Below are 16917 nucleotides of genomic sequence, written 5' to 3'. Positions count from 1 at the left end.
CTTTGATTTGATCAGGGTGGTGACATCAGAAGCAAAAAGAAGTGCAGAAATCAATAGTGAGTTCTCACAGAAAAGAACATTGGAAATAGAAATTTACAGTCAGCCAAACTATCACTGAAACCAACCTAAGACAGAATTTATTCAGAAGTATATACTACTGACTACCTGTAAACTCTGTGAGGGGAAAAAAAACCAAAAAAACAAAACTGGAGGATGCACTCCCTAAAGATGAGAAAATGAATTCAAAGAAATGCATTAAAAATACTAATCAGGCTGGGTGTGGTGGCTCACACCTGTAATCCCAGCACTTTGGGAGGCCGAGGTGGGTGGATCACCTGAGGTCAGGAGTTTGAGACCAGCGTGGCCAACATGGTGAAACTCCGTCTATACTAAAAATACAAAAATTAGCCAGGTGTGGTGGTGTGCACCTGCAATCCCAGCTACTCGGGAGACTGAGGCAGGACAATCACTTGAACCGAGGAGGCAGAGGTTATAGTGAGCTGAGATTGTGCCACTGCACTCAAGCCTGGGCCACAGAGTGAGACTGTCTTAAAAAAATAATAATAATAATCAATAGTCGGCAAAAACAAAGAAGTAAAAATAATAGTAAAATTTGATTAAATCTGAATTGGTGCAAATATTTAAATAAATCAGCTACATGAGACATCTCAAATGTTATCAACATAGGGAGTAATATAGGGTGGAGCAGGTGAAGTTTGCTATTGTATTTTATTTTCTAAGTATGGATAGAATTTAGGAATATTAATAGTGTTTTGTACAGTTAAGCTAACAGCTAGTCAGTTACATTTGGATTTTCTACCTACACAGTCACCTCTTATGGAGATAATGACAGTTGCTTTTTTGTTTTCATTGAATTATTTTGCTTTTATTGATTTTTAAATTTTCTCCTGTGTACTGGTAGGACTTGCAGTGAGCAGAGGGATGACTGAATAGAATGAGAAGCAGATTTGCCCTAAGCAGTTCCCAACTTGACTTTTCCCTTTAGCTTAGTGATTTTGGGGTCCAAAGATTTGTTTTCCTTTCACACAGCATTGTTTACATTAGCCAAGATTTAGAAGCAACATGTCAACAGATGAATGGATAAAGCAAATGTACATACACACCCCCAGGAGTACTTTTCACTTATAAAGAATAAGATCCTGTTATTTGCAACAACATGGATGGAACTGGAGATCATATGGTAAGACAAATAAGCCAGGCACATAAAGGCAAAATTTTTTCTTACAAGAACTTTGGCTATTCTGAGTCTTTCGTGGTTCTGTCTGCATTATAGGATTGTTTTTCCTGTTTCTGTGAAGAGTATCGATGTTTTGATAGGGTTGCATTAAGTCTGTAGATTGCATTGGTTAATATAGACACTAAAAATACTGATTCTTATTCATGAACATAAAATACATATTTTTGTCTTTTTAAATTTCTTGCATCAATGTTTTATAGTATTCATTGTAGAGATCTTTAACGTCTTTGGTTAATTCCTAGGTATTTAATTTTAATTTGAGGCTATCGTAAATGGGACCACTCTCTTGATTTCTTTTTCACATTGTTCACTGTTGGCATATAGAAATGCTGCTAACTTTTTAATCCTATATCTTGACTAAAATTGTGAGTTCTCATAGTGTTTTAGTGAATTAGGATTTTCCAAATATAAGACCACATCATCTGCAAACAAACATAATTTGACTTCTTCCTTTCCAATTTGCTTGCCCTTTATTTTTTCTCTTGCTAATTGCTCTAGCTGCCATGTGTTGAATAACAGTAGTGAAAGTGTGCATCTCTGTCATGTTGTCAATCTTAGAGGAAAAGCTTTTCATTTTTCCCCATTTAGTATCATACTATATGTGATATCTATATATCTATATATAACTTTTATATGCTGAGGTATGTTTCTTTTTTTATTATACTTTAAGTTTTAGGGTACATGTGCACAATGTGCAGGTTAGTTACATATGTATACATGTGGTATGCTGGTGTGCTGCACCCATTAACTCGTCATTTAGCATTAGGTATATCTCCTAAAGCTATCCCTCCCCCCTCCCCCCACCCCACAACAGTCCCCAGAGTGTGATGTTCCCCTTCCTGGGTCCATGTGTTCTCATTGTTCAACTCCCACCTATGAGTGAGAATATGTGGTGTTTGGTTTTTTGTTCTTGCGATAGTTTACTGAGAATGATGATTTCCAATTTCATCCATGTCCCTACAAAGGACATGAACTCATCATTTTTTATGGCTGCATAGTATTCCGTGGTGTATATGTGCCACATTTTCTTAATCCAGTCTATCATTGTTGGACATTTGGGTTGGTTCCAAGTCTTTGCTATTGTGAATAGTGCTGCAATAAACATACATGTGCATGTGTCTTTATAGCAGCATGATTTATAGTCCTTTGGGTATATACCCAGTAATGGGATGGCTGGGTCAAATGGTATTTCTAGTTCTAGATCCCTGAGGAATCGCCACACTGACTTCCACAATGGTTGAACTAGTTTACAGTCCCACCAACAGTGTAAAAGTGTTCCTATTTCTCCACATCCTCTCCAGCACCTGTTGTTTCCTGACTTTTTAATGATTGCCATTCTAACTGGTGTGAGATGGTATCTCATTGTGGTTTTGATTTGCATTTCTCTGATGGCCAGTGATGGTGAGCATTTTTCCATGTGTTTTTTGGCTGCATGTATGTTTCTTCTATAGTTTTGAGGGTTTCTTTCATGAGGAGATATTAAGTTTTGTCAAATGATTTTCAGGATCAATTAAAATGATCATGTGGTTTTTGTTCTTTCTTTTGTTGATATGGTATATTACATTAATTGATTTGCATATGTTGAAGTATCTTTGCATCCATGAGATAAATCCTACTTGATGATGAGGAATAATAAACTTTTAATCTGTTGCTGAATTTTACTTGCCAGTATTTTTATGAGAAATTTTGCATCTATTGCTGATATTGGCCTATAGATTTTTTTGATATGCATTTGTCTGATTTTAGTATGAGAGTAATGCTTGCCTTACAGAACGAGGTTGAAAGTATTTCCTCCTCCTCTGTTTTGAAATAGTTTAAGTGGGATTGCTATTAGTTTTATACATGTTTTGTCAAATTCAGTGAAACCATCAGATTTCAGGCTTTTCTTTGATGGGAGGCTTTGTATTATGGATCTCATCACGTCTTGTTTGTGTATTCAGGTTGTGGATTTCTTAATAATTCAATCTTCTTAGGTTCTATGTGTCTAGAAATTTATCCATTTGTTCTAGATTTTCCAATTTATGGCATCTATCTGCTCATAGTACTCACTAATGATCTTTTGAATTCCTGCAGTATAAGTTGTAGAGTTGAAATGTCTCCTTTTTCATCTTTGATATTATTTGAGTCTTTTCCTTTTATTCTTTTATTTATTTATTTGTTTTTGAGATGGAGACTTGCTCTGTTGCCCAGGCTGGAGTGCAGTGGCTCGATCTCAGCTTACTGCAACCTCCGCCTCCCGAGTTCAAGCAATTCTACCTGCCTCAGCCTCCTGAGTAGGTGAGATTACAGGCGCCCACCACCACGCCTGGCTAATTTTTGTGTTTTTTAATAGAGACGGGGTTTTGCCATGTTGGCCAGGCTGATCTTGAACTCCTGACCTCAGGTGATCCAGCCGCCCGCCTCAGCCTCCTAAAGTCCTGGGATTACAGGCATGAGCCACTGCCTGCTGAGTTTTTTTTTTTTTTTTTTCTTAGTCTGAGTAAAGGTCTGTCAGGTTTCTTTTTTTTTTTTTCCAAAAAACAACTTTGCATTTTATTGACCTTTTGTATTTTATTTCAAATTCATTTATTTCTGCTTTGATCTTTATTATTTCTTTTCTTCTAATTTTGGTTTGGTTTGCTCTTGTTTTTCTAGCTCTCTAAGATATGTCATTAGGTTTTTTTTTTTTAAGTGTCAATTGTTTTGGAAATACAGGTGGTTTTTCATGACATGGATAAGTTCTTTAGTGTGTTTTCTGAGATTTCAGTGCACTTGTCACCTGAGCAGTGCACACTGTCCTTAATATGTAGTTTTTTATCCCTCACCCGCCTCCCAGCCTTCCCCCTCAAGTCCCCAAAGTCTTTTACATTATTCTTATGCCTTTGCATCCTCATAGATTAGCTCCCACTTATATGTAAGAACATACGATATCTAGTTTTCCATTTCTGAGTTATTTCACTTAGAATAATGACCTTCGGCTCCATCCAAGTTGCTGCAAATGACATTATTTTGTTAAGTGTTCCCATTTCACCACATCCAATGCCAACATCTGTTGTTTTCTTGACTTTTTTTGGCCTACAAAAAATGGCCATTTTTGTAGGAGTTATTTGATATCTAACTGTGGTTTTCATTTGTATTTCCTTGATTATTGATGTTGAGCATTTTTAGGTTGTTATTAGCTGTTTGTATATCTTCTTTTGAAAAAATATATATTCATTTTCTTTGCCTACTTTTTGATGGAATTATTATTTTGCTAATTTCTTTGAGTTCCTTATAGATTCTGGATACTAGCTTTTTGTCAGATGTGTAGTTTGCAAATATATTCTGCTACTCTGTGGGTTGTCTGTGTACTCTGCTGCTTATTTCCTTTGCAGTGCAGAAGCTTTTTAGTTAAATTAGGTCCCATTTATTTATGTTTGTTTTTGTTGCATTTGCTTTTGGGGTCTTAGTCATGAATTCTTTGCCTAAATCAATGTCGAGAAGAGTTTTTTTTCTTATGTTATCATTTAGAATTCATATGCTTTCAGGCCTTAGATTGAAATATTTGATCCATCTTGAATTGATTTTTGTATAAGGTCAGAGATGGGGATCCAGTTTTATTCCTCTGCGTGTGGCTTGCCAGTATTTCCTAGCACCATTTATTGAATAGGGTGTTCTTTCCCCAATTTGTGTCTTTATATGCCTTGTTGATGATTAGTTTAGTTGCCTGTGTTTGGCTTAATTTCTGGATTCTGTATTTTGCTTCATTGGTCTGTGTGTAAATTTTAATACCAATACCATGTTGTTTTGATAACTATAGCCTTGTAGTATAATTTGAAGTAGGGTAATGTGATGACCCCATATTTTTTATTTATTTGTTTGGTTAGTATTACTTTGGCTATGTAGGCACTTTTTTGATCCATATTAATTTTAGGGTTTTTTTTCTAGTTCTGTGAAGAATACTGGTGGTATTTTCATGGAAATTGCATTAAATCTGTCATGAAGTTGTTCATTTGAATTTTTTTATGTAGACACTTTTAGTTATAAACTTTTAGTACTGCTTTTACTGTAAATCCTAAGTATTTCCATTGTGACATATTACAGAAATATTTCAATTTATTTATTAATATCCCCATTGACCCACTGGCCTTTCAGGAGCATATTGTTTAAATTCTATGTGTTTGTATAGTTTCAAAAATTTGTCTTGTTATTGATTTCTAGGTTTTTTTATTGTAGTCACAAAAGATGCTTGATATTATTTTAATTTTTAAAATGTGTTAAGACTTGTTTTGTGACCTAACATATGGTCTATCCATGAGAATGATTCATGCACTGCAGAGCAAAATGTGTAGTCTGAAGCCATTGGATAAAATGTTCTGTAAATATCCATTGTGTCCATTTGGTTTATAGTGCAGATTAGGCCTGAGATTTCTTTGTTGGTTTTCTGTCTGGAAGATTTATCCAATGCTGAAAGTGTGATGTTGCATTCTCCAGGTATTATTATATTGGAGCCTGTCTCTCTCTTTAGCTCTAATAATACTGGCTTAATATATCTGAGTACTTCAGTGTTGGATGCATATGTATGTAACATTCTTACATCCTCATGCTGAATTAAACTCATTATTATTATAGAGTGACCATCTTTGTCTCTTCTTCTAGTTTTGTCTTGAAATCTATTTTGTCTGACATAAGTGTAGCAACTACTGCTATTTTTGTTTGTTTTCTTTGACATGGAATTTTTTTAAATCTTTTTAATCTATGTGTTTATAGGTGAAGTGTGTTTCTTGTAGGCAACAAATCGCTGGGTCTTAATTTTTGTATCCATTTAGCCACTCTGTGTCTTTTGATTGGAGAATTTAGTCCATTTACATTCAGTGTTGTTATTGATTATATAAAGACTTACTCTTGCCATTTTGTTCTTTGTTTTCTGGTCTTGCTATCAGCAGCAAGAGGGAACCTGAAAGTAGGTAGCCATCTGTGAGGCTGAGTCTGGGATTTTTATGGGTTTAAAACAGGAGAATGCATGCTGATTGGTTCATGGGTGGGCTTGGAAAAGACACCATTCAATTGGTTAAAAGGCATCATTCTCAAAGAACCAATAGAGAGCAGGTTAGACAGGGATGGAAGTTCTCACTCTAGTCCATGAATTCTTTCTGGAACTGGTAGCTCAGTTTTCAGGCTTTTTAGACTGTTGTTTCCTTGAAGGTCGAGTTTCACCAGTGCACCCATCCCTGTCTGCCTAGGAGTTTGTCTTCTGTTGCTATCAGTAGGACTGCAGTGGGTCAGACCTGAAACCAGCACAGCACTTGATCACACCCATGGTGAGCTGTAACCCTACCTGGTACCACCAGTAATTGCTCAAGGTCTTGGGGCTTTATAATCTGTAGGTGGTAAGCCAGCCAGGTTTGTATCCTTTCCTTCAGAGTAGTGAGTTCCCTCAGGTTCTGGGCAAGCCCAGTGGTGCCATCCAGGAGCCAGGGGCTGGAGTCAATAACCTTAGGAGTCTACTTTGTGTTCTATTGTACTGTGGTAGAGCTAGCAATTAAACCATGAAATTCGGTTCTTCCCATTTTTCCCTCCTTACTCAACAGGCAGAGGGGCCTCATCCTATTGCTGCCATCACCACAGGCCCATCGGGAATACTGCCAGGCTTCCACCAATGTTCTCTTAAGGTTCAAGGCTCTTTAGTTCACTTATAGTGAATGATGCTTGGCCTGGTACTCATCCTTTTGGTCAGTGGTGTCCCTTCTGTCCCAGTACAGGTCCAGAAGTGCCATCCAAGTGCCAAGACCTGGAATAAGGGACCCCAAGAGCCCACTGGTGCTCTTCCTCTCTTTGGCCATGCTGGGACCTAAGTTGCAAGATGAAGTTCTCTAGTTTTTCCTCTACCTTTTTCAGTGTCTCCCTGTAGCCACCACAGTTGTGAATGTGCCGAGTCTCACCTGATTCTAGCAAGCCTCAGAGTCTCAATGAAAGCTCACAGCAAACTACCTGGTTATCACTGCAGGTTATTCCAGGCCAAGGGCCCTTTACTTAGCAGTTGATGGGTCTTGTTAGTACCGGATTTCTTCATTCAAGGCAGCAGATTTCCTTATAGTCCAGTATGTACCTAGAAATTTTAATTAGGAGCTAGTGGCTGAGAAGGGTGTTTTATAACTCTGACTGGTGGCCTTGCTGGTATCCAAAATACAAGACAAAGTCCTGTTTACTCTTTCTGTCTTCTTAAGTAGATGGAAGTGGTCTCTTGAATCTGTGAGCTGTGCAGCCTCAGTTTGGAGGAGGGGTGGTATAAGAACTCTCTTAGCTGCCCCAGCTTGTATCTTAGTAGGTAATGTGGCCCCCAAGTCCACTGGCTCTAAGCCCAGTTCAGCATGACACCTGGGAGTTGCTGTCCTTGTGACCTAGACTGTTTTAAGTTTCTTTAGGGCCCCAGAGCATTTTAGACTATGGTGGTGAAGCTTGCCAGAACTCAAGTTCCAATCACTGGGAGGGTGATTCCCCTCTGTCCAGGGCCAGTTGAAACACACCCTCTGTGGGCAGGCATCAGCTGAGTTCATTCCAGTTTTGCTTTCTGCTATGATAGGGCAGCACTGAGTTCAATGCTCACAATCCCAGTGCTCTCCCTCTCCCAAGTGTACAGATTCTGTCTACATAGCATGTGACTACTGCCAGGGCATGAGTGAGGAGTGGCATTAGTGATTCAAGACTGTCTTTCCTACCCTGTTTTAGTGCCTCTTTGTGTACTGCAGGGTTAAAACCAGGTACTGTGAGTGCTCGCCTTTATTCTTATGAAGGTTTTTGTTTGTTTTTTAATAGATAGTTGTTATATTGGTGTCCTTCCAGGGGAAATGATCACTGGAGCCTTCTATTTAGCCATCTTGCTCTGTCCTCTGTTGGTTTTCTACTATGGCATTGTGCTCATGTTCTCAGCTTGGTAAAATTTCATATTAGATTTGTAAAGTATATTCAGCTAAATTCAGTATGTAGAATAATTAGTTATTTTTACTACTTTGAGCTATATATTCTTATTACAACCAAGGCATTTTACCAGAGCAAGGCATAGAAGAGTCATTCAAAAAAGCAACACTAGGAAAAGCAACACTGGGAAGATATGAGAGCTGTGGCCTTGAAAATTTATGCTTATGGAAAAACTGGGAAAGTATAGGTGAAGGACAAAAAGAATGTTATAATTTATGTAGCCAATATTTGACAACTTCTCATAACAAAAATTTAACTGTGAAAGGAGATGAAGAACATAGAATATTTCTGAAGAAGCCTCAGTTTCTGCCAGCTACTCCTACAGAACCATGTATTCCTGTGAGTAAATATCAACATCAATTTTTGGAATCTGTCTTTTGTAATAAAAATCAGATAAATTTTAGCCATGACTCAAATATTAGTAAACATCAGAATACTCATTTTCTAGAAAACTATTACAAATGTAATGAATGTGAGAAAGTGTTTTATCAATCCTCAAAGTATCCATATTCAAGAAAAGCCTTACAACCCTAATGAATGTGGTGAAACTTCTAACCCATCCTCAAAACTTACTCAACATCGAAGAACTTATATTGGAGAGAGCTCACAAAGATGTAATAAAAAATGTATAATAGTCTTTAGTCAGTCACATCTGAAGAGACATAAGATAATTAACACTGGAGAGAAATCAGTAAAATGTAAAGAACGTGGCAAAGCTTTTACCAGGGGCTTACAACTTGGACATCAGAAAATTCATACTGGAGAGAAACCTTACAAATGTGAAAAATGTGACAAAGCCTTTAAGAAGAGCTCACACCTTGCTCAACATCAGAGAATCCATACTGGAAACAAACCTATCAAGTGTAAGGACTGTGGCAAAGCTTTTAACAGAGGCTCATACCTTACTTAACATCAGAGAATCCATACTGGAGAGAAAGCCTTCAAATGTAAAGAATGTGGCAAAGCCTTTAATAGAAGCTCATACATTACTCAGCATCAGAGAATTCACACTGGAGGGAAACCTTTCAAGTGTCAAAAAATGTGGCAAAGCTTTTAACAGAGCTTCACACCTTACTCAACATCAGAGAATACATACTGGAGAGAAACACTTCACACATAAAGAATGTGGCAAAGCCTTTAACAGGGGCTCACACCTTACTCGACATCAGAGAATCCACACTGGAGAGAAGTCTTTCAAATGTAAAGAATGCAGCAAAGCTTTTATCTAGGGCTCACACCTTACTCAACATCAGAGAATCTACACTGGAGAGAAATTCTTCAAATGTAAAGAATGTGGCAAAGCTTTTACCAGGAGCTCACACCTTTCTCAATATCAGAGAATTCATACTGGAAAGAAACCTTTCAAATGTGAAGAATGTGGCAAAGCTTTTAACAGACACTCAACCCATACTCAACATCAAATAATTCATACCAGATAGAAACTCTTCAAGTGTAAAGAATGTGCCAAAACCCTAAACTGGTGCTCACACCTTACTCAACAATTCTATCTTTTATACAATAAATTACAGTTAACTATAGTTGTCCTATTGTGTTACAAAACACTAGATCTTATTTCTTCTATTTTTCTTAATATTTAATTAAAATATTATTTCAGGCTGGACATGGTGGCTGATGCCTGTAATCCCAGCACTTTGGGTCAGTGAGGGAGGATCACTTGAGCTCAGTACATTGAGGCTGCCTTCAGCTATGATTACGCCACAGCACTTGAGCTGAGGACAGAATGAGACCCTGTCTTTAGAAAAAAATAGGCTGGGTGTGGTGGCTCACACCTGTAATCCCAGCCCTTTGGGAGGCCTAGGCAGGAGAATCTCATGAGCGCAGGAGTTTGAGACAAGCCCATGCAACATAATGAGACCCCATCTATACACAAAATTTAAAAATTAGTTGGGCATGGTGGTGTGCAGCTGTGGTCCCAGATACTTGGTAGCCTGAGGTGGGAAGACTACTTGAGCCTAGGAGGTAGAATCTGCAGTAAGCCATGATCATGTTACTTCACTCCAGCCATGGTGATAGAATAAGATCTGTCTCAAAGAAACCAAAAAAATAAAATATTTGCTTATTTTTTGAAAAAAATGCACAACATTGAGAAATATGGAAGTTATTTTAAAAGTTTTTTATTCTCTTCTAAATGCATTTTCTAAAATATACAAAAAATTAGTAAAAAAAAAAAAAATGACATAACTGACCTCACATGCATTAAGTGAAATAAACCAGACACAAAACATAATACAGTGTATCATTCCATTTATACAAAATAGTAATCATACCACAATAATAAAGAGGTAATAAAAATGGACCAGGCATGGTGGCTCACACGTTTAATTCTAGCACTTTGGGAGGCTGAGGCAGGTGGATTGCCTGAGGTTAGGAGTTCGAGAGCAGCCTGGCCAACATGGTGAAACCATGTCTCTACTAAAAACAAAATTAGCCAGGTGCAGTGGTGGGCGCCTGTAATCCCAGGTACTCAGGAAGCTGAGTCAGGAGAATCTATTGAACCCGCGAGGCAGGCAGAGGTTGCAGTGAGCTGAGATCGCACCACTGCACTCAAGCCTGCATGACAGAGACTCCATCTCAAAAACGAAACCAAACCAAACAATAAAGGTGATAAAATGGAATGTCCATAAAAGGGAAATCAGTAATGATTGTCTAGTCCTGATAGTGGAAATATTTTAAAGTTATACCATGGCTATAGTTGCATAATTATAAATATACCAGAAACTTTGTATTGAGTATGATGTTATGCATATTTCATCATAACTTTTTTTAAAAAAATAAGCATGCCATAAAATAGCAAGGTGGTTAAATTGCTTGCTTGAAAACAATCTGAAAATGCAATCAATTTTTGCTCATTTCAAGGTTTTTGATTAGGTGTTTCTGAATTCGTCCGTTAGGTCTAGTTGGTATATTAAAGTCAGCAGTTCACATTGAGAATTTTCTACTTCTACCATTCTGCCATTTGTGCTTCATATATTGGGGTCTTTGTTAGGTACATGCATATTTAAAACTATTTTATCTTCTTGATAGATTTATAATTTTTTAACATAAAATTTCCTGTGTCAATTAATTATAGCAATGTTGTCTTAATGCCTATCTTGTCTAAGGGTAACCACCCCAGCTTATTTTGCTTACTATTTGTGTGGAATCTTTTTACCCATCCTTTCACTTTCAACCTATTTGTGAGCTTAGGACTAAAGAGATTCTCCTGTAGATAACATAAAGTTAGTTCATGTTTTTGTTTATTTTTAAACCATCTGCCAATCTTTGCATTGTAATTGTAGATGTTAATTTCTATTTAAACTATTTATAAGGAAGGGCACACTTCTGCCATTTTTCTAGTTGTTTTCTAAAGTCTTGTATATTTTTGTTAATTAACTCTTATATTACTGACATCTTTAATGTTCTAGTATTTTTCCAAAACAGTTTTGATTCTCTTCTCATTTCCTCTTTCACTTCTTTCTTTAGTTGTGTTTTTAGTGGCTACCTTAAGGATGACAATTAATCTCATCACTGTGTAACTGTACTTTAAATTAATACCGCTCGTAATTCAGTTTTATTTTAAAAGCTGTTTCAATAGAGATCTGCTCCTCCAATGTTATGTTGTTTTGTCACATATTACATCTTTATGCATTGTATGACATTAACAAAAATTTATAATTATTTTATGCATTAGTATTTTAAATTACATGTAAAAAAGAACAATAGATAAAAGTTACAAAATATTCTTTAATAGTGGCATTTATATTTTGCCATGTACTCATTTTTACTGGCATTCTTTATTTTTTCATATGGCCTTGCATTATTACCTAGTTTGTCATTTCATTTCAACCCAAAAGATAACCTTTGTCATTTAATGCATACCAGGTCTACTAGTGACAAGCTGTTAAATTTGTTTTAATCTATATAGCTCTTAGTGTCTTCAAAGGTCTTCAAGGATGTCCTTCATCTTTGAAGAGCAGTTTTGCTGAAAATAGAGTTCTTTGTTGGCTTTTTTTTTTTCTTTCTACACTTTAAATATATTGTCCTATCATATTCTGGACTCCGTAGTTTTTAGTGAGAAATTATATTCTGGACTCTAGTTTTTAGTGAGTTGTTAATGTCAGTGTAGATGCATTGCAAATAGTAGTCTTTTCTCCATAACTTTCTTCAAAGTTGTCTCTTTAGCTTTTGAAAGTTTTATTGTAATTTGTCTTGGTGTAGAGTTCTTTGAGTTTATACTATGAATTCAATGAGATTTTGGAATGTGTAGATTCACGTATTTCATCATGCTTGGGAACTTTTTAGCCATTATTTCTTCAGATGTTCTTTCTGCCCCATTTTATCTTTCTCCCTTCTTTCGGGAGTTTTCATAATGCTTGTAATGGCACATTTTATAGTATCCCATTGTTATCTTAGGCTCTGTTCATCTTTATTCATTATTTTTTATTTCTGCTAGTTGGGATAATACGAATTGAAGTGACCTCAAGCTTGCTGGTTGTGTCTTTCGTCTACTTAAATCTTTTGTTGAACCTTTGTGGTGAATTTTTTATTTTAGTTATCTTAATTTTCAACTTTAGAGTTTGGCTTCAGTTTATAATCTCTATCTCTATTAATATTTTCTATTTGATGAGACACTATTCTTCTGAAATGTTTTTCCTTTTGATGTTATTTATCTTTGCAGCACATTTAAGACAGGTAATTTAAAGACTTTTTCTAGATTTTTCAATGCCTACGATTCCTCTAGGACTGTTTCTGTTAATATCTGTTATCTTATTAGTGGGCCATTATTTTTTCATTAATTTATTTGCACGCTTTGTATTTCATTGCTGTTGCTGAAAACTAGACTTTTTCTATCACAACAACCCTGAAATAATATTCTCTCTCATCCCGTTGGGTTTTTTTGTTGCTTATTGTAAATTTTACTTGTTTGTTTGGTGAGTTTTCAAAATTATTTTTAAAATATCATCCTTTTGTCGTGTTTAGCAATAAAAATCTCTGCTTTATTAGCTTCATGTGAGCTAGTTATTTGACAGAGATTTTCTCAAATGCCTGCTCACATCAAATATAAATCTACTAGTTCTTGCAGTTGGGTTTACTTAGCCAGAAAGATTACAACTTTGCTGTTTTCTTTTCTTCCTGCTTGTGCAGTGCTTGGAGGTAAAGCAGACATGAGAGATAACAGCTTCGTAGGTCTTTGTGAGCATTTGCCTGTCCCTTGATTGACCCTGAACATGCTTATGGGCTTCTGGATTCTCAGGAATATGTGGATAATTTTCAAAGCCCGAATCCCCCAGGCACCTCACTCCTCAGTCTTTTCTCTTAGATATTCTACATGACTTTTGCTTGCCGCACTGATATTCTTTCTCCAAGGTGTGATGAGTAGTTAATTAGCCCTTAACTATTTTTGCCAAACATTAGGTTATTAATTTAGAATTGTTTATTTTTAATGTAGGTGTTTACTGCTGTGAATTTCTCTCAGTAGTTTGCTGCATCTCATGTTTTGATGTTTTTTTGAGACAAGTTCACACTCTGACACCCAGGAATGAGTGCAGTGGTTTGATCAGGGGTCTCAGAAGCCTTGACCGTGTAGGCTCAAGTGAACTTGCTGCCTCAGCCTCACAAGTAGCCAGAGCTACAGGCAGGTGGTACAATGCCTGGCTAATTTTTGAATTTTTTTTGTGAAGATTGGTTCTCATTATGTTGCCCAGGCAGGTCTCAAACTCTTGGGCTCAGTCCTCCCACTGCTGCCTCCTAAAATGCTTAAATTACAGGCATAAGTCACAGCACTCAGCCTTTATAAAACCTTTGATATTTTTTCTTTTATTCTGTTTTCCCATGTTTGTAACATGTTGTCCCAAATTATACAATAGTTCTATGGTAGTTGTGGCAGATTTGTGACATAAAATAGAGAAAACATAAGTTACATTTAAATTTGGGGTAAACAACAAATAACTTTTTAGTATAGCTATGCAATGTTTTTATATCTGTGTATAATATGTGTAAGCAACTACTGGAGTATATACAAATAACAATTCATCATTTACCTGAAATTCAAATATAACCAAGTGTGTTACATTTGTCAACCCTTGTTCATGGGAGCCACTGTTCTTTTCTCCAGACTCAGCATTAATGACCTGAAAACCTTCATTAGAGAAAAATAAAGTTTGATAATTAGCAGATACATTCTTTTGCGGTATGTAGTAGTCATTAGAGAGGGTGTGGCATGAATTAAAGTGTGTGATCTGGATACCTTATGGGGAGAAAAAAATAGAATTCTTACGTATGTTGTTTTATCTAATTGTATTACCTCTTTCTGTGATATAACTTTTAATACATACAGTATATTTAGTAAAAGTGATTTCTACATAAGTAGTAAGTAGTTATTTGTATATTAATTGTCCATGTTTATTTTCTGGAACTAGACTGCAGTATTTAATATATGGAGATTATTATGGCTTTAATCTGATACTATCCTGGAGCTTCTTTTAGGTTTAACATGACAAAAGAACCATATCATGTTGATGGCATCAGTATATTTTGGTGGCAACTATCCATTGTTTGGTTCTGGACATTGAGATAAATGTGTACTTATACTAGATTATGTGTTGGGAGAAAAAATAAAAACTGATATATAAACTATGCAATTTCCTTTTTGTAAACTCATCCATATCAGGTGGTTTAAAATTGGTTAGCAGTTTTCTAACTCAGATGTTAATTTCTGAGTATGAGGTAAAAAATACTGTCAAATCATCTTCATTGCCTTGCACATTTATATTTGTGGTTTGTGCATTAGTACCATCACAACTCACTGGCTCACTATAGCCTCAAGATCCTATGCTCAAGTGATCCTTCCATGTCAGCTTCCCATGTAACTGGGACCACAGGTACGTGCCACCATGCCTAGCTAATTTCTTTCTTATTTTTGATAGACACAGGGTGTCACTGTGTTGCTCAAGCTAATTTCAAACTGTTTATCTGAAGCAATGTCCCTGCCTCAGCCTCTCAAAGCGGTGGAATTATAGGCATGAGCCAGAGCTCTATTATTCTAAGCTGCGGGCTGAATTAGTTGGATACAATAGTGATGACTGTATTCAGGGCAAAGAAGAAAGTAATTGCAGAATTATTCAATAAAATTTTATGAAGGGTTCTCATACAGAGATATCATGATTAAGAGATGGAGAATTATCTTTACTATTAGTGACCTTGGTGTTTTTCCAAGGCTTGGAAAGGCATCTTTCCATGGAAGGGTATCTCTGTATAAAGTGAAGCATCAAGAAAATTATCACTTAATGCAAATTCATGGATCCCATAAAGTAGAAAAAGGTAGTCCATGTACTTGTAGCATTGAAAACTGGATTTTAGCAATTTCCACCTGAGATGAAATAAAGCTTTCATGAGATTTCTCTGGGATAAAAACAAAACTTGAACAGAGCCAGAATTATTTTAAGGGATTCGTTTAATAGGACTTGTGGTAAGTGGAATAATGCCATGCAAAGGTCCCCATGTCTAACCACCAGGTTCTAGGCATGTATTATGGTATATGAGAAATGGGAATTCAGGCTGCAGATGAAATCAAGGTTGATAACCAGCTGACTCTAAAACAAAAACATTAACTTGAATTACAGATTTGGGCCTAATGTAATTATAAGCATTCTTAAAAGTGAAAGAAATAATAAGAGAAACTGAGTACTGTGATGTGAGTCAGTTAAACTTTTTTTTCAACTTTTTCTTTAGGTGATTATTTTCCCTTAACATAAAATTTACTTTAGCTCAACTATACAAACATGTGAGTTATTGTTATGTAACCATCACTCTTCATTAAGAAATGCTTTGTAAAAAGTGAGCCAGTTTTTCATATACATTCTTCAAAATACATTCTCAACATTATATATCAAATTATATATACATACATGCACACATACACTATATATATCAAGGATTTATATGATAGGATTAATTAAGAAAAAAATTAGTGGAATAAAAATAATGTTTATGATAATTTTGGCCATAGAATATATAATACAGATGATGTGAAGTACAAAATGTTTTTTATACTTCATATTTTGATGTACAAAGTATGTTTGTCTTTGTAATTCAGATGATTACTTTGCACTTGTGTTCCCATGAAAAATGCCTTTCATTTCTAAGCTGGTATTGGCATCTCAGCCAACACTTTTCTCCTTCTTTTCTGCGTCTTCTCCTTTTCTGCTTTTTCTGGATCTCAGGCCAGAGCGCACTTACCTACCAGTCTGTCATGTGGCCCTCATCCACATGGTGGTCCTTCTCACCATGGTGTTCTTGTCTCCACAGCTCTTTGAATCACTGAATTTTCAGAATGACTTCAAATATGAGGCATCTTTCTACCTGAGGAGGGTGATCAGGGTCCTCTCCATTTGTACCACCTGCCTCCTGGACATGCTGCAGGTCGTCAACATCAGCCCCAGCATTTCCTGGTTGGTGAGGTTTAAATGGAAATCCACAATTTTTACCTTCCATTTGTTCTCATGGTCTCTCAGTTTTCCTGTTAGTAGTAGCCTGATCTTTTACACTGTGGCTTCTTCCAATGTGACCCAGATCAATTTGCATGTCAGTAAATACTGTTCACTTTTCCCAATAAACTCCATAATCAGAGGACTGTTTTTCACTCTGTCATTATTCAGAGATGTTTTTCTTAAACAGATAATGCTGTTCTCAAGTGTCTACATGATGACTCTCATTCAGGAACT

The 16917-nt window shown here is 36.2% G+C and overlaps 1 long non-coding RNA gene across 1 annotated transcript in view; it reads left to right on the top strand.

The window, feature by feature from the left end:
- Window positions 1-16582, top strand: part of LOC105369218 (uncharacterized) — a 28164-nt gene extending 11582 nt beyond the window's left edge. The window contains exon 4 of the long non-coding RNA XR_007068539.1: window positions 16502-16582. This is a non-coding gene — a long non-coding RNA (uncharacterized LOC105369218). The remainder of the gene's footprint in view (window positions 1-16501) is intronic.
- The last annotated feature ends 335 nt before the right edge of the window (window positions 16583-16917 follow it).

The sequence above is a fragment of the Homo sapiens genome (genome assembly GCF_000001405.40).
Source record: "Homo sapiens chromosome 15 unlocalized genomic scaffold, GRCh38.p14 Primary Assembly HSCHR15_RANDOM_CTG1".
Taxonomy (NCBI): Eukaryota; Metazoa; Chordata; class Mammalia; order Primates; family Hominidae; genus Homo; species Homo sapiens.
Note: the sequence above shows the minus strand (reverse complement) of the source record. Positions and strands in the feature narration are given on the sequence as shown.